The sequence below is a fragment of the Homo sapiens genome, chromosome 4 (genome assembly GCF_000001405.40).
Source record: "Homo sapiens chromosome 4, GRCh38.p14 Primary Assembly".
Taxonomy (NCBI): domain Eukaryota; kingdom Metazoa; phylum Chordata; class Mammalia; order Primates; family Hominidae; genus Homo; species Homo sapiens.
In genome coordinates this window covers 140,467,790-140,491,316 of record NC_000004.12, presented here as the reverse complement: position 1 = coordinate 140,491,316, position 23,527 = coordinate 140,467,790, and the positions used below count along the sequence as shown (strand labels likewise).

The 23,527-nt window shown below is 36.5% G+C and overlaps 1 protein-coding gene across 16 annotated transcripts in view; it reads left to right on the top strand.

Moving 5' to 3' along the window:
• MGAT4D (MGAT4 family member D) overlaps window positions 1-23,527 on the top strand; it is a 56,032-nt gene that overhangs the window by 6,977 nt on the left and 25,528 nt on the right. For 10 of the 16 annotated variants that reach the window (XR_938697.3, XM_011531654.4, XM_011531650.4 and 7 more), the window contains 4 exons: window positions 8,832-8,990; window positions 11,690-11,827; window positions 16,371-16,504; window positions 19,496-19,542. Coding sequence is in view for 15 of the 16 variants with exons in the window: in XM_011531654.4 (XP_011529956.1) it covers window positions 8,832-8,990; window positions 11,690-11,827; window positions 16,371-16,504; window positions 19,496-19,542 (478 nt within the window). In the remaining variant the exon portion in view is untranslated. Of the gene's footprint in view, window positions 1-4,428; window positions 4,450-8,831; window positions 8,991-11,689; window positions 11,828-16,370; window positions 16,505-19,495; window positions 19,543-23,527 lie in introns of those variants that run through there. The other 6 variants (XM_011531665.4, XM_011531664.3, XM_011531657.4 and 3 more) reach the window with 5 other exon arrangements.

Sequence of the window (23,527 nt, the reverse complement as noted above, 5' to 3'; positions counted from 1 at the left end):
CCCTCATCTCCATCCAGTTGGGGGAGTGTTTCACCAATGTGTATGACCTTGTGGGAATATGCCGACAAAATAGATTGTTATTACTGTCCATGGGGCAGAAGAGGAGTTCTCAGACGCAGCTGTAAGTAAGCAGAATCCAAGGTCCAAATGTGGGTTATTCAAGAGAATAATTGAAATGTCCTGTGGAATTTAAAATACATGTACAATAACAGTGTATGCCAGCAATTACAAGAAAAGGTAAGAGAGGGAAATGGAGTTAAATTGTACTAGACTTGTAGAACTATTGAGAAGTGAGAATGTAAGAATTGGTATTTGACTATTAAGTCGAGGATTCATGTTGGAATATCTAGTTGAACCACTAAAATAATAGTACAATAGCATAACTATATCACTAATTGCATTAAGTGTCCCAAAAAAGAAATTAAAATATTTCCTGATTGGATATATGACAAAATTCAACTTGATGGTTACTAAAAGAGACATATTTGAATTTTAAAGACAGAAATTTTGGAAGAAAAGGGATGGAAAAATACCCACAAACCCAAACCAAAATAAAGTTGATGTAGCTGCATTATGTTATCAAGCAAATGGGCTCATGGCCCAATGTATACAGAAGCCAATAACTTTAACACTGGCTTTTGAGAAAAGAAATTTTTTTTTGCAAAACCAGCCAGCAAGGAGATCAGACTCAGGCTCAAATGTTTGTCTCTTATTGGGTCTGGGCCAAGTTTTAAGGAATCATAGGACAAGGGAAAAGATTTAGGAACTTTGGCTTGGCAGGGTCTAATTGGAGGGCTTCCAGTCTGGCCATTGATGGTAAGGTATGTTGAGGCAAATTTTAGCTCCAGATCTTCTGGGCCAACAGACCCATCGCATATGAAAGAGTTCCAGCGTTCAGGTTCTGGTCACGTCCCAGGCTTCTTGATTCAGAGGGAGGATTCTTTGGTTCTGGGTGTGGTTAGAGGTCAAAGATTTTGCTATTGCACTTGCCCAGGCTATATGAATTGCAATTTTGGGCTCTGCTACACCTACAAGGTAACTGGACACCTTTCAACAAAGTAGGTCTGGTTTGGGCTGGTCTTGTGGTTTATCAATATCAGCAAAGAAGACTCTAAAACAAAGTGCAACATAAATGTTGAATAAACATAGAAAAACCACTAGCAATCAAGAAAATGCAAGTTTAAAACATGAGTTACCAGTTCATGCTATTCTGTTCCTTAAATCAGGAAATTGGACATTTAGTGAGAATGTGGAGCTTTGGGAATTCAAACTTCCCTTGGAGGAGTACACATTCAGTCTCTTCCGTTATGAAACATATGCCTTTCCTATGTCTTAGGAATTCCACTACTAGTAGGGTTGAAATGAGTGTACAGCCTTATCAATGGTTTATGGCCAACATATGTTCTCACTGATCAGTACCTATACCATATATGTTGTTAAATATTTTAAATAACATCTCTACCACCAGATATATCCTAGGGAAGCTCTTGAACATGTTTACTAGGAGACATGTACCAGAATATTCTTGGTAGCATTTCTTATAATTGTTACCAACAATAGAAGAGACAAACATGTTGTGGTATATTCAGTACATTGGAACATTTTACATCAGTAAAAATGAATAAACTACAGCTTGATTCGTCAATATAAATAAATCTCAAAAGCATAAATTGAGCTAAAGAAGCAAGTACAGAGTTTTATTTATTAAGGTATAAAACCAAGTGTAAGTCAGCTTGCAAAAATAGTAAAACTGTAAAGGAAAGCAATAAATGATTAATACAAAATTCAGGATTCTGCTTATCTGGGGGTAGGGAGGAAGGGGAATTGGATCTGGGAAGGAAACAAGTAGAATATCTAAGGCTAAGGTAGTTTGTGATGGGTTCATGGATGTTCATTTTTATTATTATCCTTTAAACTGTCTTATATACGCTTTGTAATGTCTAATATATTCTGCAATAAAACCTAATGCACAGAGGGGCCACTCACAGGGAATTTAAAGGGCTTAGTACATAGTTTGATTTGATTATTGCAAAGCATACATGGGGGGAGTAATCTGAAATGTACTTTATGTTTTTAGTTTCATCTTCTAGTAATTACCTTAGATATTCTTTATTTGGAACCACATTGGGTACAAGTATACTAATAATAAATTTAAAGTGACCTGCCAATGCTTTATCATTATACCTTTTGCCCTTCTATTTACCCCCTGAGTGACTTACGTACGTTCCCCATGATAAACTGTAGTAGGCCATTCTTGCATTGCTATAAAGAAATATCTGAGACTGGGTAATGTATAAAGAAAAGAGGTTTAATTGGCTCCCAGTTCTGCAGGCCCTACAAACATGGTGCTGACATATGCTTGGCTTCTAGGAAGGTCTCAGGGAGCTTTTACTCATAACAGAAGGCTAGGCCAGAGCAGGCAGGCATGTCACATGGAAAAAGCAGGAGTGAGAGAGAGTGGCAGGGAGGTGCCACACACTTAACCAGATCCCAAGAGAACTCACTATCATGAGGATAGCACCAAGCCATGAGGGATCATCTTCCCCCATGACTCAAATGCCTCCCACATTGGGGATTACAATTCAACATGAGATTTGGTGGGGATAGATATTCAAACTATATCACATACCATACCATTTCACACTCTATGCACTTATGGTGTTGTTTTCTGAGGCTGGAATGCCCTTCCCTTCTTTCTGCTGTAGGCAAGCTTCTGTACATACAAGTTCACAAGTCTTCCTTCTTCTCTGAAACCTTCTCCACCTCTCCTACTCCTCAGTTCTCCTTAAGAATTAATCATTCCTGCCTTCCTGTGCCTGTGGCACTTTGAGGATAATTCCATTTTAACAATATATTATAATTAGTAAAGTTTAAATATATGCACCATTCCCACATTCCTTGCAGTCTGATTGTCAGGAGCCAGATTTTATTCATATCAATTTAATTTAGAGCAGAAACCAGATTTTATTCATGTTTATTTACCTACCACATACATAGCACATGGCAAGTATTTAATGGAAGAATAGAAATCTCAGCATGCTTCTTGCTACTGGAGGTGTTTAGTGAATGAAGTGAGGTCAAGTCACGTTCATGGCCATGTTGTATAGGACCTGGTAGACCAGGGCAAGTAAGCACTCAGGGAACTATTTATAATCTTTGAGCAGTGTTTCCAGAAGATTAATCATTGATTGGAGATGAGAGACCAATTAAGAGGCAATTATAATAGTGCAGCTAAAGGCAATAAAGCTTGAGCTATGGTAGTATCAATGATGATAAAGAGAAAACCATGAAAGTGGTCTGTCACAGCCCTTCTCAAATTTTAATGTGCATAGTAGTCAACTGGGAATCTTATTAAAATGCACAATCTGATTGTCTGCATCTGAAGTCTGGGGTGAGGCCTGAGATACTGCATTTCTAACAAGCTCACAGCTGATGCCGGAGACTTATGCCATCCAGTGTGGTAGTCAGGTGGCTTTGAAGCACTTGAAATGCAGCTAGTGAGTGCACCTGAGAAACAGCATTTTTTATTTTATGTTAACTAGTTTGAGTCTACATTTAATAACTGAAATTGTGCAAAATATTTCTCCATTAAGCAAAACTGTACTGTTTTGGTAGGATTACATTTCACTGTAATTATTAAAATTTAGCATCTGAATTGAGATGTACTGTGAGTGTAAAATACACGCAGGATTTAGAATATTTAGTACAAAAATGTAAAATAGCCCATTGTTTACTTTTATGTTGAAACATTTTGGATATATTGTATTAAATAAAATATATTGTTTAAAATTACTTTCACTTGTTTCATTCGTTTCTTTTCACTTTTTAAAATGTGACTACTAGCAAATTTTAAATTACAGATGTGGCTTGCATTTTATTTCTACTGGAACACAATGCCTTGGAGCCTTGCTGTGAGAGGCACAAATCAGTGGCACTTAGGATCTAGCCTGGAACCTATTTTTAATGTGCAGAAGTCACATTCACCCATTGCACACTTGAACTGGTGTTTGTTTTCATAATTTCACTACAGAGATGCCCAATTGACTCAAAGCATCTAATTATTGTTTATTTCAAACCTTTGCAAAATAGTGTTATAACATTTCATCCTCACTAAATACCTGGGTAAATATGCAAGTAATTTCAATATTTTAAATAGAATATTGATGAATGAATTACCAGGGAAAAATGTACAAGAAGCAGATCTAAGATTAGAGATTATGTCCTTTAACATTTCTTTATGATTGTTGCTGTAAATACTGCTTCCTCTGGAGAAAACTCTTTCTTTTCATGTTTACCAAATTGATCCCTAGGGACTGACCTACAATGTAGAAACCCACATAGGTTGCATCACCCATGATATATTAACTCGGAACACACAATCCATTTTGCAGAGAGAACATTACCTGGGAAACCCTAATATCATGAGCTTAAACTACATCTCCCTCTAAGGTTTGTAAGCATCTTCAAATAGTATCTACAATATGAATATTTAAGGCTTATCTGGATAGGTGCAGTTCTTTTGATTAAAGCATGATTCAGTTTAAGAATCACTAAAATTAGTTCTTATACTGACAAGTCCATTCATTTCATTATTTATTCATCGAGCATATATTTGTATAAGAACTATATGCAAATCGCTGTTTCAGATAGTTGGAATTTAGTAGTAAAATGTTCTCGCTGCTCTCATTCTAGAAATCTCTGGAGTGAAACATGAAAGCAGTCAATACATAATATGAAGTGGTGGTGATAAGTTATTTGAACAATGAGAACACATGGACACAGGGAGGGGAACATCACACACCGGGGCCTGTTTCGGGGTGGGTGGCTAGGGGAGGGATAGCATTAGGAGAAATACCTAATGTAGATGACAGGTTGATGTGTGCAGCACATGTATATCTATGTAACAAACCTGCACATTCTGCACATGTACCCCAGAACTTAAAGTATAATTAAAAAAATAATAATAAGGGAAAGACGGCTGTGCTATCTTACAAAGGATGGCAGGGTAGGCTTCCCTGAGGTGGTAATGTCTTAGCAGAAAACAATGAAATTAGGGACCTTCTGCCACAACAGGATATGTGATAAAACAATGAAAGGATATGGGGGAAGAGCATTCAGTGCTGAGAACACTGCAAAAGCCAAAGCCCTAAGGTAGGAGAGTGTTTGGCTCGTGTGAGGAACAGCAAGGAGGCCAGTGTGGGTGATGCTGGGCTCCCTCAGAGTGAGGCAGGAAGGGTAGGAAATGAGACCAGGGAGGAACTCAGGACTGATCACACAGGGCTTTGTGGGTCATGGTAAGGACTTTGGTTATTTTTCTAAGTGTGATGAGAAATATTTTGGAGGGTTTTGAGCAGGGGAGAGGAATTATCCAATTTTTGCCACAGGCTGTCCACTTGTGTGCTCTTCTTCAGAAAAAACAGATAAGTGAAAAAATATTAAATGTTTCAACCCAAATGTATCATCATTGCTTTTTTTTTTTTTTTTTTTTTTTTTTTTTTTTTTTTTTAAGACAGGGTCTTGCTCTGTTGCTCAGGCTGGAGTGCAGCAGTGCAGTCATGGCTCCACTGTGGCCTTGATCTCCTGAGCTCAAGCAGTCCTCTCACCTTGACCTCCCAAAGTGCTGGGTTTACAGGTGTGAGCCATAACATCCATCCAACATACTGACTTTATTTCCTTTGAATACATAACCAACAGTGGGATTGCTGCGTTATGCAGTTCTATTTTTAATTTTTTTAATAAAATTTATTTTTATTTTTTAATTATTATTATACTTTTAAGTTTTAGGGTACATGAGCACAATATGCAGGTTAGTTACATATGTATACATGTGCCATGCTGGTATGCTGCACCCACTATCTCGTCATTTAGCATTAGGTATATCTCCTAATGCTATCCCTACCCCCTACCCCCACCCCACAACAGTCCCCAGAGTGTGATGTTCCCCTTCCTGTGTCCATGTGTTCTCATTGTTCAATTCCCATCTATGACTGAGAACATGCAGTGTTTGGTTTTTTGTCCTTGTGATAGTTTACTGAGAATGATGATTTCCAATTTCATCCATATCCCTACAAAGGACATGAACTCATCATTTTTTATGGCTGCATAGTATTCCATGGTGTATATGTGCCACATTTTCTTAATCTAGTCTATCATTGTTGGACATTTGGGTTGGTTCCAAGTCTTTGCTATTGTGAATAGTGCCGCAGTAAACATACGTGTGCATGTGTCTTTATAGCAGCATGATTTATAATCCTTTGGGTATATACCCAGTAATGGGATGGCTGGGTCAAATGGTATTTCCAGTTCTAGATCCCTGAGGAATCGCCACACTGACTTCCACAATGGTTGAACTAGTTTACAGTCCCACCAACAGTGTAAAAGTGTTCCTATTTCTCCACATCCTCTCCAGCACTGTTGTTTCCTGACTTTTTAATGATCGCCATTCTAACTGGTGTGAAATGGTATCTCATTGTGTTTTTGATTTGCATTTCTCTGATGGCCAGTAATGATGAGCATTTTTTCATGTGTCTGTTGGCTGCATAAATGTCTTCTTCTGAGAAGTGTCTGTTCATATCCTTTGCCCACTTTTTGATGGGGTTGTTTGTTTTTTTCTTGTAAATTTGTTTGAGTTCATTGTAGATTCTGGATATTAGCCCTTTGTCAGATGAGTAGGTTGTGAAAATTTTCTCCCATTCTGTAGGTTGCCTGTTCGCTCTGATGGTAGTTTCTTTTGCTGTGCAGAAGCTCTTTAGTTTAATTAGATCCCATTTGTCAATTTTGGCTTTTGTTGCTATTGCTTTTGGTGTTTTAGACATGAAGTCCTTGCCCATGCCTATGTCCTGAAGGTAAGGAGCCTCCATATTGTGTTCCATAATGGCTACACTAATTTATATTCCTGCCAACAGTGTGCAAGAGTTTCTTTCTCTCCATATTCTCACCTTTTGTCTCTGATAATAGCCATTCTAACAGGTGTGAGATGGTACCTTGTTTTAATTTGCATTTTGCTGATGATTAGTGGTATCAAGCACTTTTTTATGTACTTGGCCATATTCATGTCTTGTTTTGACAAATATCTATTTGAATCTTTTGCCAATTTTTTACTTTTTTTTGCTATTGTTTGAGTTTCTTATATATTTTAGATATTAACCTCTTTTCAGATGTATGGTTTGCAAATATTTTCTCCCACTGGACAAATTTTAACCCATAGATTGTCTCTTGGGTTGAAATATTTTCAATCCATGTTGTCTCTTCACTCTGTTAATTGTTTACTTTGCTGTACATAAGCTTGTTTAACTTGATGTAATCCCATTCATTTATTTTGTCTTTTGTTATCTGTTATTTTGGAGTCATATCTGAAAAATCATTGCTCAGACCAGGTCAATAAGCTTTTTCCTAATGGTTTCTTCTAGTAATCTTACAGTTTCAGGTCTTACACTTAAGTCTTTCATCCATTTTTAGTTGATTTTTTATGCGAGTTGAAATAAAGATCTAATTTCGTTCTTCTGCATGTGGATATCCAGTTTTCCAAACACGTTTTTATTGAAGACACTGTTCTTTCCCTATTGTGTGTTCTTGGAAACTTTGTCAAAGATCAAGTTACTGTAAATGCGTGAATTTCTGGGTTCCCTATTTTGTTCCATTGGTCTATGTGTCTGTTATTATGCCAGTACCATGCTGTTTTGATTACCATAGCTTTGCAATATATTTTGAAGTCAGGTAGTGTGATGTCTCCAGCTTTGTTCTTTCATTCAAGATTGCTTTGGCTTTTTGGGGTCTTTTGTGGTTTCATATGAATTGCAGGGGTTGTTTTTCTGTTTCTGTGAAAAACGTAATTGGATTTTTTTAAGGATTGCATTGAATCTGTAGATTGTTTTGTGTAGTATAGACATTTTAACAATATTCTTCTAATCTACGAACATGTGATATCTTTCCATTTATTTGTGTCTTCAATTTCTTTCACCCAGATTATATAGTTTTCAGTGCACCATTCTTTCACCTCCTTGGTTAAATTTATTCCCAAGTATTTTATTGTTGCCATTGTAAATGGTGTGGTTTGACTGATTTCTTTCCTGGATAGTTTGCTGTTAGTGGATAGAAACTCTACTGTTGATTTTGTATCCTGAAACTTTAGTTTATGTGCATCAGCACTACATCTTCACAACAGCTCTGAGGCAGAGATTTTTATGTATGCATTTACACCAGAAGGAGCAGAGGCAAATAAAAATTAAGCAATTTTCCCCAGATAACACAAATATTAAGTATATTATACATGATTTGACATCAGAGCCATCAGAACTCTTAAAAGAATATTCTGTAATTTATTTAGCAAATGTCCTACTGTTGGGCACTTTGGTCAGTTCCAATTTTTAAAAATAATGCTAAATACTACGGCCTATGTTAAATATCCTTAGTCCAAATCTGTGTACATATTCCTCATAATTTTCTTCAGATAATTTCTTAGATGTATTTTTGGGGGGTTAATGGGATTACACTGTAATACAAATCTGATACACGCACACCATGGAAAATTTGTAAAACAAAGAAGAGCACAGAGTAATAAAGGAAAAAATCATTTATAATCCCACCTTCCTCATATCACTATATTTAACATTTTGTTCTTTCTTTCCAGTCTTTTATATTTGTACCTATGCACGTATTTACACATGTGGTATATACTATATGTATATAGTACTGTATATATACACATATAATACATATATAGTACTATATATAACTATATTGAAACTTATACTTTACATTCTTACCTATTATAGAAAATTGTGTGACACCATTGCTACATGTACAAATATATACATATGTTTTCATTGCAGATAATCAATTAATTAACTGTAGAAACCATATTTTGGAGTTTAAAGAAAATATGCTACACTTAAGAAACAAAACTGAAAAAAATACCCAAGAGATGATGAAAGTTTTGAATCGAATGAAGTATGAAATTACAAAGAGAGAAATTTTGTCAGGAAACTTAGGTTTGTGTTGATTTTGTTTGTTTTGTTTTGTTTTTGGAAATGTAGATTCAATGTCTTATGATTTTAGGGCCTCTTCTCTCTATAAACTTAACTATATCAGTACTGGTTCTTTTATTGTGAGACGTGCAAAAATCAGGTAAGAGATATCACTGACCTACTTCTTCTCATCTTGACCTCGAAAGTAGTCTTCCTGTGCTTTGTGGCTCCGTGAATTGCACCACCATCCATGATCCATTCAAGAGATGCAACCAGAAACCTGAGGATCACCTCTGACCCCTCGCTCTACCTCTTGCATACTTCCATGTCAGTAAAAGCAATCCTGGTTGATTCACCATTCTATATATCTCAAAAATTTGTCCACATTTTCCATCATCATTTCTGCTACATTAGTCAGGCAACCTTCCTGCTTTACCTGAGTGACTAGTAACATACAGCTAATTTTTCTCATATAAACCTTCAGTGGCTTTCCATTTCTGCAGGACAAAAAGTCCTGCCTTATGCATCCCCTTTGTACTCCAATCCTCCCCCTACTCTTAATCCCTGGCAACCACTGCTCAGATCTCTGTTCTTATTGCTTTGCCATTTCCAGAAGCCATGCAAATGCAATCAAACAATGTGTAACCCTTTGAAACTTGCTTCTATCACTTAGCATAGATTTTCCCAAATTGTCATGTCACCAATTGTTCTGTTTATAGTGCTGAGTAGCATTTCGTTGTATCGATGTTCAATGGACATATTGTTTATCCTCTCACCAGTTGAAAGGCATTTGGGTTGTTTTCAGGTTTGGGCAATTACAAATAGATGTTACTATAAGCATTCATGTACATGTGTTTGGTATGAAGAGAAGTTTTAATTTTTTTAGAATTCATATGTAGAAGTAGGATTGACAGGGCATATGTAAGTATATGTTTAATGTTATAAGAAACTGCCATACTGTTTTCCAGAGTGGCTGTGCCATTTTTCACTCCCTCCAGCAATGTATGAGAGTTTAGTCACTCCAGTTTATTATAGCCATTTTTTTTTAAAACAGGCTCTTGCTCTGTTGCCCAAGCTAGAGGGCAATGGTGCAATCTGGCTCACTGCAGCCTCCACCTCCTGGGCCCAAGCAATCCTCCTATCTCAGTCTCCCAAGTAGCTGGGACTACAGTCATGTGCTACCACACCTGGCTAATTTTATTTTTTGTAGAGATGGGGTCTCTCTATGTTGCCCAGGCTGATCTTGGACTCCTGGCCTCAAGCAAGCCTCCCACCTCAGCCTTCCAAAGTGCTGGAATTACGGGACCATGCCTGTCCTATTATAGCCATTCTAATGTCATGATATCTCATAGCTTTATGTTGTATTTCCCAGAAACTAATGATGTTGAACATTTTTACTATTTGCCATCCAGATATCTTCTTTGGTGAAATGTCTGTTCAAACGGGGAATGCAATGGCACAATCATGGCTCACTGCAGCCTCCACCTCCTGAGCTCAAGGGATCTTCCCACCTCAGCTTCCTGAGCAGCTGGGACTCCAGGCGCATGCCACTATGCCCCACTGCGTGTGTGTGTGTGTGTGTGTGTGTGTGTGTGTGTGTGTGTGTGTGTGTGTGTGTGTGTTTAGAGATGAGGGTCTTGCTATATTGCTCATGCTGTTCTCAAACTCCTGTTTTGCCAGTTTCTTTAACTGGGTGATTTTGTTTTCTCATTGAGTTTTGAAAGAGTTCTACATATTATCCTGGATACATATCAGATGGATATGTGATTTGGAAATACTTTCTTTCAGTTGGTGACACTCTTTCATTCTCTTTCTGATGCTTTCAGGGGGCAAGCATTTTTAATTTTTGATGAAGTCTGATTTGTGAATTTTTCTTTTATGTATTGTTTTGTTTTTTGTATTGTTATATTGTATCTAAGATCTCTTTACCTATCTCAGGGTCATGAAGGTTTTCTTTTTTGTTTTTAAAAAAATTCATAGGTTTATGTTTTACATTTATGTCTATGAACATTTTTAGCTAATTTTTATAAACAGCATGAAAAACAAGTCAATGTTCAGTTTTTTCCATGTAGATGTCCAAGTGTTCAAACACCTTTATCAACTGTCTTTTCTGCATTCAATTACCTTTGCAACTTTGTCATAAGTCAGTCAACCATATTTTTGTGAACCTACTTCTGTATTCTATGATCTGTTCCATTGTTTATATATCTTTTTTTATATAATATCACACTGTTTTGACTACATTGCTATGTATTATGAATTAAAATTGGGCAATGTGCGTCCTCTAACATTTTCTTTTTCAAAATTGTAGAGGCAACTTCTAATGAAGTTTACAAATATAGTCATTAAATTTTAGGGGCTACAAAGCAAAGTTATAAAGATACAAATTTAATAAAGTGATATTAATCAAAGTAGCAGAGTAAGCCAATTACAGCATGTTTCAGTTATACTTTTTTCATTTGGAACTGACAGTTCCATTGTCCTCTGTGTATCTTATAATTCTAGGCTTAAATTACATATTACTTTATAAATAAATATGAATAAATAATAGTTGAGCTATATTTAGCATTATTATTTTAATAATTTACATTTTAGAGTATTTCTTTTATATATTAAATGCCAAATTAATCTGTGAGTTTATTAACACCTCTTTGAAAAAATTATTCCAGGGGGAGAAAAATCCCTATGATCATATACTCAGAAGCATTATTTTTTTCTTTCAGTTGCACAGAAAGCAGACATATTAAATAAAAATGAAACAGTATCTAATACATTTGAAGACTTAAAGTTCTTTTTTCCTCATCTAAGGAAAGAAGGTAGAATTTATCCTGATGTAATCATTGGCAAAGGGAAAACTGGTGGTAAGAAAACTTAGAATTGGAAAATTAAATAAAGGTATTTTGATCTTTGGGGACATACTTTTAAGTTTTAAGATGTAATCCATTATTATCTTAGATTGATATGCAGACTACAGCCTATCTGGCATTAATTTGGATTACTGGAAGTCAGTATATTGTCTGGCAGAAAATAATAGTTTCATAAACACTTGGTGACTTGAATTCAAATTTAGCATAACACAAATGCTTTGAAAATAAGTAATATAAGTCAAATATACATTAAGTATATGCCAAATGTTTGGCAAATCTTTTCTCGTTGTTTTTGGTAAATCTATTCTTACCTGGTTATTTTACTGTTTCCCAGTCTTTCTGGAGACCAAGGTCAGTAATAGCCTTATACAACAGGTGATGTTTGAGGTAAGCCTTGACAAATGAGTTCAAGTTCACCAAGTATACAAGACAAGAAGAAGCTTTGGAGTTTGAAGCAGGAATATTAAGCTAAGTCTCAGGATACCTGCCTTTCCTATAAACCTCACTCATTCCAGTGAGTGAGTCACTCTAGGCCAGGCCCATTGGCTCCATGTTTTAACATACAGTTTTGTTGGAACATAGTTATGCTTATCCATTTACTTGTTGTCTATGTCTGCTTTTGTGCTCCAATGGCAGAGCTGAGTAGTTGCAACAGAGATGGTATAACCCAATAGCCAAAAATGCTTACTATCTGCCCCTTTATTTAAAAAAAAAAAAAAAGTTTGCTGACCTCTGCTCTAGGCAGTTCCTTGGGAATAAGTAGTGTTGTTTTGTATCATATGCCTCTGATGACATCGTTTATCTATTGCATTCTGTGTTCCACTTACTGAGTTCTATGTTTTCTTACATTATCTCATTTAATCTTCACAATCCAATGCAATAGGGCCTATTACTGTCATCTCTGTTTTACACCTGAAAAAACTGAGGCTTAGAGAAATTAAGAAACTTCTTGAGTTCATACTTGTAAAACTCTTTACCTGTATATACATATACATGCATATGTGTTGTGTGAATGTATGAGAAAGTACATGCTAGACAAAAGCTGTAGTTTATAGGATGAGGAAAAGTTGAAAGACACACGCAAGAAAAACAATGCATAGAAATGATAAGATATTAGACACCAAGAATAAACATAACCTTGCATAAGCATCAGCAAATGTAAGTGGAAGCCCATGACACAGAGTGAAAGGAAGGAGAGAGAGACATGGTGGTGTTTGGGTGGAGCAATAGACCTCCTTGTGTAGGGGGTTGGAGGGTTGAGATAACCCAGTTATCAGAGCTGTGTTAAATCCAGAATAATTTTCTAATTCCCCAACAATTTATTGATCTCCAATCATGGTGTACGTATTTATCCTTCTTTTGAGGCCCTTTTGGTGGCTTTTCTCAATTACCAGAAGGGATTTAAGGAAGATTCTGTTCCAGGCAACTAAAAAAATCCTAACACATGAAACATATGTAAGAGGATTGAAGCCTGTGGCAAGGCCTACTAGGGAATCCATCATCAGTCTTGTTTATTCTGTATTCTAATAGATCTTGGATAATTTCTGCTCTCTGTAGCCCCTCTATAACTATTTTTTATTGAGCCCCTCATCATTTTGTGCCTGGTTTATGGAAACATATTTGTAATTTATCTTGTGATTTTAGTATCACCAAAGTCAATCCATTCTTCATACTTTCCTCGAAGATATGTTAGTAAAATTCATCACTGATCATACTTGACTCTTGCTTAAAATCCTTCAGTAGACCCTCAGTGCACATGAGGTGAAGTTAGCCCCTTGGCAGGGTATATGCAGAAAAGGCTGTATCTTTCAAATCTCAGTCTCTGCCATGCCTCTCCTTTCCAGAAACCACAAACCACTTGCAGTTCTCACAAATAGGCCAAGCTCTTTGAGAACAGATAGGACAAGCTTCATATATTCTGCATGTGCTAACCACTGCCTATAATGAACATACCTCCTCTGGCAAACCATAACTGATTTGTAATGTGACTCCCTTATCCAATATGACTTTTCAGCTTAAATGACAACTTCTCTGTGAATTCTTCCACGTCTCCTCATTTAATAAGCTTCTACTCTGTTCTGGGCACTTCTTAGGCCCTGGGATATGGGGTGAATAAGACATAGACCCCACCTTCATAGAGACAAATGATAAGGTAATTATAATATAAAGTGACTGGTGCTGTGATAAGGGAAATACCAGGGTGAAGCCAAAATCCTATGCTATGCTTTCTGGAAGAAGTGTCATATAAGTGACATGAAGGGCAAAAGAATTGGAGTAGACTAAGTAGGGAAGTGGTAGGTGGTGGATAGCGGAAAGTAGAGGGTGGTCATCCAGATAGAGGAAAAGAAACATGCAAAAGTCAGATGGCAAGAAGGCCTAGAAAGGATGTGTGTCTTGCATGCACTATTGGGGCTGGAGGGTATTAGTAGCAAGACCATGGACACAGGCCAAATAATAAAGGGGCTTGCCCCTTTATTATTTATTCAATTTCAATTTATTATCATTACCATGTATCAGTCTTTATGTTAGTGCTGGATTTATAATATAAGCACACATGAAGGTGTCTGCTGTCATCAAGCTGACATTCTAGATAGGAATGAGTTACAACAAAAGGAGTGATGAGTACTATGAAAGATAAGGTAAGAATTCATAGCTGGTGAAAGGATTAAGCATCAATTTGTGATCAAAATGACTAATATTTAGTTGAATCCTGAGAAATAAGTAGAATTATCAAAGGAAATTAGAGGAATAAGAGTATTCTAGGCAAAAAGAATGGCGTGTGCAAAGGCTTCGAGGTAAGAGTGGTATTTGGTCAATTCGAAAAGTGTGGGTAGTTGAAAAAAAGGGATAGATCAGTACCAGGTCACTAAGGGCCTTTTAAATTCTTGTAAATGCATTGTAAGGCATAGGAAGCCATTCCAGGAATTGCTTTCATACTGTATCTTACAGCTTGAAACTTGATTCCTGCCTCAATCTATCCATAAAAATCAATTCCAGGTGGATTGCAGCTCTAAATATGAAAGGCAAACAATAAACTATTAGAAAATCACTCAGAAGAATGTCTTTATGACCTGAAGATAAGCAAAGATTTCTTAACAAGACCCAGAAAACCCAAACAACAAAGAAAATGGATGACAAATTGCACTACATTACAATTAAGAATTTCTCTTCATCAAGGGGCAAAACATTGAAAAGGGAACCAAGAGTGGGAGATAATATTTAATAACACATATAACTGACAAGGGGTTCGTATTCAGAATATATAAAGAGTATCAATACAATCAATAAGAAAAATGCTGACAACTCATTAGAGAAATGGGCAATAGCTTAAACAAGGATTTTACAAAAAAGAATAGCCAAAAGCCAATAAGTGGCCAGGCACAGTGGCACATGCCTGTAATCCCAGCACTTTGGGAGGCTGAGGTGGGCAGATCACTTGAGGTCAGGAGTTCGAGACCAGCCTGGCCAACATGGTGAAAACCTGTCTGTACTAAAACTACAAAAGTTAGCCGGGCATGGTGGTGCATGCCTGTAATCCCAGCTACTCGGGAGACTGAGACAGGAGAATAGCTTGAACCCGGGAGGTGGAGGTTGCAGTGAGCTGAGATTGAGCCATTGCACTCCAGCCTTGGCAACAGAGTGAGACTCCATCTCAAAAAAAAAAAAAAAAAAAAAAGAAAGCCAATAAACATGTGAAGATATGTTCAAACTCAATAGCAATCAGCTGTTCCTTCCAAAGTTCCATAGTTTTTCTTAAGTAAGTACTTCTCAGTTTATCAGGGCCCTGAAATGACTGTTTTGACCTTTTTTTTTTTTTTTTTTTGCAGTTTTATTACCGCTTTCTAGAAAGAGGATTTTCTGAGTTTCTCACTTAGCCATTCTGGAAGTCCTTATCCCTATCTTAAAGAGGGGGACATAAGGCTGGAGATGTTGTGTATCTTGCCTAAGCCCATATGGCCAGGTACCAGTATAGTTACGATTGGTAGCCTCAATCTTAGCTGCACCTGTACAGCCAAGATGTGTACATCTTGGAGCCCTAGTGCTCCAGCTATTCTTGGGCAACAAAAGTTACTTAGAGATGTGGATTCATTCCATCAAATCATTTAGAAATTACTTCATACATTCTTTCACAGATGAAAATATTTCATAGTAATTTTTTCCTGTTTTGGATTCCAGTGTCTTGTTAGGAAAAGAAGAGAGAATCGACCAATATGTGACATTTTATACTCAGTTAGATGAACCTATAGTAAGTGGAAAGTGGTTAGTTTTATTTTTGCTACACCAAAATCTTTTAACATAAGAACATCTTGGAGTCTGTTTAGTGCTTTTACTAACAATCCACTGCAAATTTCCTCAAAAAGAAAATGAAATATGTGATAAAAATTAACATAGTTTGGATTATTTTTGTAATACAGTTTCAAACACTCATTTTGTTACCGTAAGACTAACCCAAACATAGGAATAAGCATAGAATGAATGGTAAACTATGTTTTTCTCTGTGGTATGGAATGATGATTTCATACTCCTATGTCCACAGTTTCTTTTGCGCTGGGTATTTCCACTGTTAACAGAGGAAATTATAGTTACCTGAAACAGACACTGACCTCTGTTGTCTCCAGGATGACGCTCTCCCAAGAGAAGGATTCTGTAGTGATTGTCTTGGTTGCAGATGTACGTATACAAAATAAGGAGCTCTCCTTATCCTCACCCTATGGTCTCCAAATTCCCTTCCTCAATGGTAATAATCATTGTACCATGTTGAAAACTGTTTTCTTAATTTTAAAAAGCTACCCATAGATGCCTTTTTTGGATACCAGACAACATACTTAATACTTCTTCGATACTGCTGAGAAGGAATTAAATATGTAAATCTAAAAGGACAACATAATGGCTTCATGTGGGAAATATAAGATTGCTAAATTTGAATTGCATTTAATATAGAATCCCTGAATCCCTGCCTACTATATGGCTCAGAAGTTATATTTACAAACAAAATTAAAATTATTAAAATCGATGCTAGTAATAAAATGTGCCCAGTCCAATAAGAGTTTGGTATATGAATCAAGAGATAATTTGTATTAAGCAACAACACCTATGATTGAGAGACTTTCTTATGCTTGAGAGATTGTAGATGATTTTTATACACATTTATAACCTGCATTACATCCCTGTGAGGTAGCTATTACTGTCCTGATTTTAGGGATAATGGACCTAGATCTTACAGAAGGTAAGTAACTTGCCCAGTAATTAACAGAGCAGATTCAAGCCTAGATCTCTCTAATGACCCCAAAGATTTCCACTGTTCCTAATACCATTTAAAACTATATAGTACTGTGTGAATATTAGCACCATAAGACTTTTTGGAGAGAAATTTGGCAATGTGTGTTAAATTTAAATGTATATGTACTTTGTCTCAGAAATTCAAATTCTGGGAACTTATCCTAAGGAAATAATCAGGCAAGTGTATAAAAACAGTAAAAATGGTGGGGCATGGTGGTTCATGCCTGTAATTCCAGCACTTTATGGTGCTGGGGCAGGAAGATCACTTGAGCTCAGGAGTCTGAAATCAGCCTGGGCAACATAGCGAGACCCCCATCTCTACTAAAAAAAAAAAATGCTTAGCTAGAAATGATGGTGTGCACCTGTAGTCCCAGCTACTTGGAAGGCTGCAGCAGGAGGATCATTTGAGCCCAGGAGGTAGAGCCTGTAATGAGCCATGATTGCACCACTGCACTCCAGCCTGGGCTACAGAGCGAGGCCCTGTCTCAAAAAACAAACAAATGAACAAGCAAACAAAAACCAGTAAAAATATGGCAGTATAGTATGGAAGTTGAGAACAGACTCTGGATTTAGAAGTCCAAGGTTAAAATGTCAGCTTCTCTACTTCCCAACCAGTGAACTTGAGCAACTTACTTAATTCATCTATGCCTCATTTTCTTTTATCTCTAAAATTGTGATAATCATATTGCCTATGCCATAAGGTTGTTGGGGGATGAAATTAGCTAATATATTTAAAGTACTTAGAGTGATGTGTGGCACATAGTAAGTGCTCAATAAATAATTATTTCAGGATTTTCAGTGCATTGTTGGGTTATGAAAGCATAATATTGGAAACAACCAAAATATCTACCCATAAGAGGCTGATAAAATACCTTGCTATATATCTCCACAATGCAATACTCGATAGTCATTGAAAGAAGAATGAATATCTGTACTCACTGATACAAAGTGATGTTCATGTCCTATTGTTAAGTGAAAAAAAGCTGTAAAGCATCATGTTTAACATAATGTTATCATTATGTTAAATAGGAATGAAGGAAAGAAGGAAAAGATGGAGGGAGGGGAAAATATATAGAAACAAATGAAATATATGAAGAAAAAAGAAAATGAGCAAACTTTGGAATGATATAAAGATATCATCAATATAAATAATGGTTATCTCTAAATGCTGGGATTAAGAAGAACCTTTATTATCTTTTCTTTATTCTTTTTGTTATTGCTTGAATTTTCTATAATAAAGATGTCTTTGAATGCAGAAAAAACTCGAAACAGAACAAGCAATAGAAGAACTATTAGAAAAATAGAAATGAAAGATTAAAATCATTGCATCCCAGTTTAATTTATTAATATTAAAAGAAAGTATGCACATAATCTCCAAAATGTTTCATCCTATTGCCTTATTTTATATATTAGAATCCTTACTTATTTGCTGTTAGCACAACCCATGTCTGTCTAAAATGTTTAGATTTGTAATAAAACATTGGAGGAAGATTTTTAAATGGAATATAAAATGCTTACGAAATATGACTTTGACGCCGTGTTTAAAATACAATATGTTTCAGTGTGAGACAAATAGCTAATGATTCAATTTATGGTTAAGAGCCTCCAGTACTATAAGAGATTTATCTACATCATGTCTGCTATTTTTAAACAAGAAACCTGAGTACATACATCTAGAGTTGCCTTTCAGAGTACTCAGATTCAACAACAGAACTGTGATTGTTCAAAATATTTTCAAAATTTTGTGTTGGAAATGCTTATGGGCCCTGAGGCTACATCTTGTAAATGCCACGTTATTTTTTTAAAAATTATCCCAAGAGGGTAAACCATCAAAAGCTTTTTGCAGGAGTCTGTCATCTAATCTAGCGCACTGTTCAATGAAGAGCAGGTCCACAAAGTTTATTGTCAGGAAGGCAAATTGGAATCAAGCTGAGTAATACTGTCTGGAGAAATATGATGTAATTTTGAAGTAGGCTTATTGTCATATAATACTCAGGAAATGAAGAGTAGTTTTCAAAAGGAGTAGTTGTTTGAAATAAGCCATTCACAGATGACCATTTTTAGACTAAAAACATCTTTAGATATATAATATTTTATGTAATCTTATATATCTAAAAAGTATATAAATTTAAGGGTAAATTTTGGATTGTAATATTTCACATTGTGGCAAAGGGAAAAGAATGAAATATTTCCTGTATTCAAGTCAAATTTTTTAAGAACATGGATATTTTTAAATCTTTTAATAGAAAGTAAAAACACTAAAAATTATTAGTATGCAATAGCATTTCACACACAAATTAGATTTATATGTAGCAAAAGAAGTTGTATTAATAGAACTATGAGACATGCTTAGTTTCAGTAAAATATTTTTCTCATTTTTAGAGTAATGAAGATTATTTACATTCTGTTGTTAAAATGATTACAAAAAAGTAAGTACTGTCTGATATATTTTTACATTAGCCATTCTTTCATTTTTCTATCTTATTTTTTCTGTCCAATTGTATAATTATTTTCTTAGTGATCATATTCTTTTTAATGAGTATAGCTGGCAGAAAGAACCTGTAGTCCTTTCTAAGCTGTGATGAAGTATGGCTTAATGGTTTTCCCAATTTTGCTGGATATCTACCAATTAGAATTTATATTTTTCATGTTATACTGTTTATCCTGCATGATAACCATTGGTACCGAGAGAAGCCCATTGAGTTATTTTTAAAACATTCCTGTATCCTTTACTGTATGAAGTTACTTCACCACTTCTGCTTATAATCTCCTTCAGCTGTAAGCAGCCGAAGCACGTACGGATTAACCAATATGAAGCTCTTTATCAAGCAAGATGCTGTGGAATGGACCCTGCCTTCCAAATCCTAAGTTCAAATAGGTGATACAACTTGAAAAAGAAACGAAAAGAAAAGAGAGAGAAGGAAGGAAGGAAGGAAGGAAGGAAGGAAGGAAGGAAGGAAGGAAGGAAGGAAGGAAACAAAAAGGAGAAAGGAGAAACGAAAGGAAAAGGAGGGCCAGGCATGGTGACTCACACCTGTAAGGCCAGTACTTTGAGAGGCCAAGGTGGGTGGATTGCTTGAGCCCAGGAGTTCGAGATCAGCCTGGGCAACATGGCCAAACCCCGTCTCTACTGAAAAAATGGCCCCCAAAATTAAGCCGAGCCTGGTGGTGTGCACCTGTAGTCCTAGCTACTAGGGAGGCTGAAGTGGAAGGATTGCCAGTGCCTGGGAGGTGGAGGCTTTAGTGAGCCAAGATCATGCCACTGCACTCCTACCTGAGTGATAGAGGGAGACTGTGTCTCAAAAAAAAAAAAAAATTATAAAATAAAGGAAGGAAGAGGCTAGCATTGTCCTAGTGGTGATGGGGAATAAATATGACAACATGTAGACGAAGAGGTATTTAATTTAACTCTACCTGCAAATATCAAGAAGGACTTTCCTGAGAAGGTAATAATTGAGCAGAATCTGAAGGAATAAGTAGACATTCTTCAGGCAGACAGGGGGAAAATGTCATGCCTGATAAATAGAATTGCTGAGGAAGGCAGAGAGACCAAAGGAGCATGCTAGACTTTTGAACATGTAAGTCTATTTTGGAAATGGGTATTTGGAGTTAAGGCGGAAGGACTGGTGGGAGATAAGGCAGGTGCTGTTGACATCACGCAGGGCCTATGCACCATGCTAAGAAATATGCACTCTGTGCTGTAGACCAGGGCTGCAAATGTGGCCTTCAGGCTGAATCTGGCTGACAGGCCGTGTTTTGTTTAGCCAGTAAAGTGTTTTGCTTTGTTTTATTTTTCCTCACCAAATAGCTCTAGTGGCTGAGGCAGTTAGTTGTTCTAGTCAAAACAATTCCAGCTAGTAAGTGTAGAATGAATGAAATTGGAGAATCACCGTTTTGAAGCGCGTCATTAAGTGAGAGGGTTGGGGGAACTTTACGAGGAAGGTATGCCGGTCAGTGTCCGCACAGGAAAACTCCTGGTCGTTCAAATAGAGGAAACAGGCAATTTCACACAAACAATTGGTCAAAACAAGTTTCAGAGGACTGAGAGCACAGAAGGGAGAAGAAAGAGCACACAGCAGCGGGAAGGAGAGGACATTAAACCCGGGGATCAGAGGCCCTGGAGATAGGCCTCCTCAGCAGCTGGAACCTCCGCCACCGCGGGAGCTGAAAGAGGAGGCGCATCCTTGGCTTCGACCGCCTTCCAGGCTCTTGTCACTTACTGCTTCCCGCAGGCAGAGGCCAACCGGTACCCCGCTAGCAAGGGCGTCCCGCAGGACAGGATGCACTGCAGAGCAGAGGGGTGCGATGTGCAGTGTGAGCTGTGAGCAGCCAGGGTCCAGGGACCCCACCCTCACCTCCAGCAGCTCGGGGTCGCTGAAAGTCTGGCGATGGAAATGATGCCAGGAAGAACTATTGAGAGTTATTCCCCCGACTTAAACAAAACAACAAAACAAAAAACCCTGAATGCAATCAAGCCTTAGGAGCTGAATTTCAGTTTACAGGATACACAGCAAAAAAAGGAAGCCATCTGGGGCAAAACAATCAAGAAGTGGGACCTTCTGTAGAAAACTGACCCAGAGTCTTTAAAAAGTGGAATGGGGATGGGGGAAGAAAGAAAAATGACGGTTACCGGTCTAGATAATAAATTTTAAAAAGAAATAGGGATAATCAATTACAATGAGCGACCTTATTTGGGTACTTGTTTGAGCGCCTACTCCCCCAAAATAGGCACTTTTTAGACGACTGGGGACATTTGAAAATTGACTAAGTATTATGTGATGTTAAGTAATCATTTATAGTTTTGCAAAGTGTGAATAATACCATTGTGCTTATTAAATAAATGTCCTTTTTAATATTCACACTGAAGAATGTAAGGGCGAAATGATATCCAGCATTTGTTTTAAAATACTTAAGCAAAAAAGGGGCAGCTGCGTAGATGAAACAAACGTGGCAGAAAATAAATGCTTATTGAAGGAAACTGATTTGGGGTTCATTATATTTCTATTTTTGTGGATGTTTGGTAATTTTTATAATACATATTTAAAGAATGAATGTAGACTATTATCAGTAAGTTCAACTGATAGGAAGAAAAGTCAAAACACCTGTCTTAAGGGACACAAATACTGTTTGGGAGGTTTTGAGGTGGAAGCACCTGGAGTTTTTACTTGTGCTGCAGTAGAGAGAGGAGGGGCTGATGAAGCAAGGCAGGAGGGAACTGGAGACTCAGGTGGAGGGAGCTTTAGACAGTACTGAGACCAAAGAGGAGATGAGAGCAGGTGAAAGAGTAGAAAAATTAATTTGTTGGGGGAAAGACAGTGTAATCATCTTAAAAATCCTTTTTTAAAGATTTCTCTTTTCTCTGTGAAGGAGGTAAGCCCCTGTGTTGAGAAGGAGGGATTCATTGGCAGTGAAGGAACTTAGGGTAGTGAAGGCTTGAAATAGGTGATTTATGTGAAGGGAGAGGGATTAAATAAAGATTAAACAAAACACCATATACATGTAGTTTTTCCCCTAAAAGACTCCCCAGGAAAAAAGTTACCTTATACTTGAACCCTTAAAAAATCTTCTCATACTCAAGGATGCCTTCTCAGTTGCTTTATTCTGAACAATAAACTACTATTTAGAGAAGAGAAGACACATTATCCTGAAGTGGCTTCAATCTATGCTAGTTTGGTATTCTTATAGGAGACTCCTGACAGAATCAATTAAAAAGAAGGCAAAGGTGTAAAACAATTCCTGAAGATATGACCGCATCATTGTAAGCCTTTTGAAGATCACTTAAAAAAATTAGAGTATGTGGTTACTTGTAAAGATCTCCAATAAAAACATTACCTAATGTATGAGAATACTTCTGATTTGCTACAAAATTTTCAGAGACAATGTCACTGGTTTTAGAAATTGCCGTATTGTAGTTAGAATTGAAAATCAAGGATACTGGAAAACTATGTCAGGTGATTCAAAAAGTGATTCTAGTGGTGATAATTATATTGATAATACCAATGCAGGATAAAGAGTTAGAATAAAATTATTTTTTGTGAAAGTAGAGTAAAGCAATAATTTAAAATGTGAATAATATAATAGTGAATATTCACTATTTAATATTCACTATTTTTAATATTCACTATTAAATTATAATAGAATAATTTAATAGTGAATATTAAATTTAAAACATTATCAAAGGTAATATAGACATATAACTTTTAAATTTACATGTCTAAACTTTTGCCTATTCAATTTAGCTAAAAACCCTTTTCCTAGGTTTTCTCATTAGGGTAATGAGAGATTGTTTTATATTTGGATTAGTCCTAGATTGAAACTATATAATTTTTAAAGGACTCATCTATGTTTGTATATAACCTCATATGAAACTGTATATAACTATACACTTTACATAAACCTATAGAGTTGTAAGAT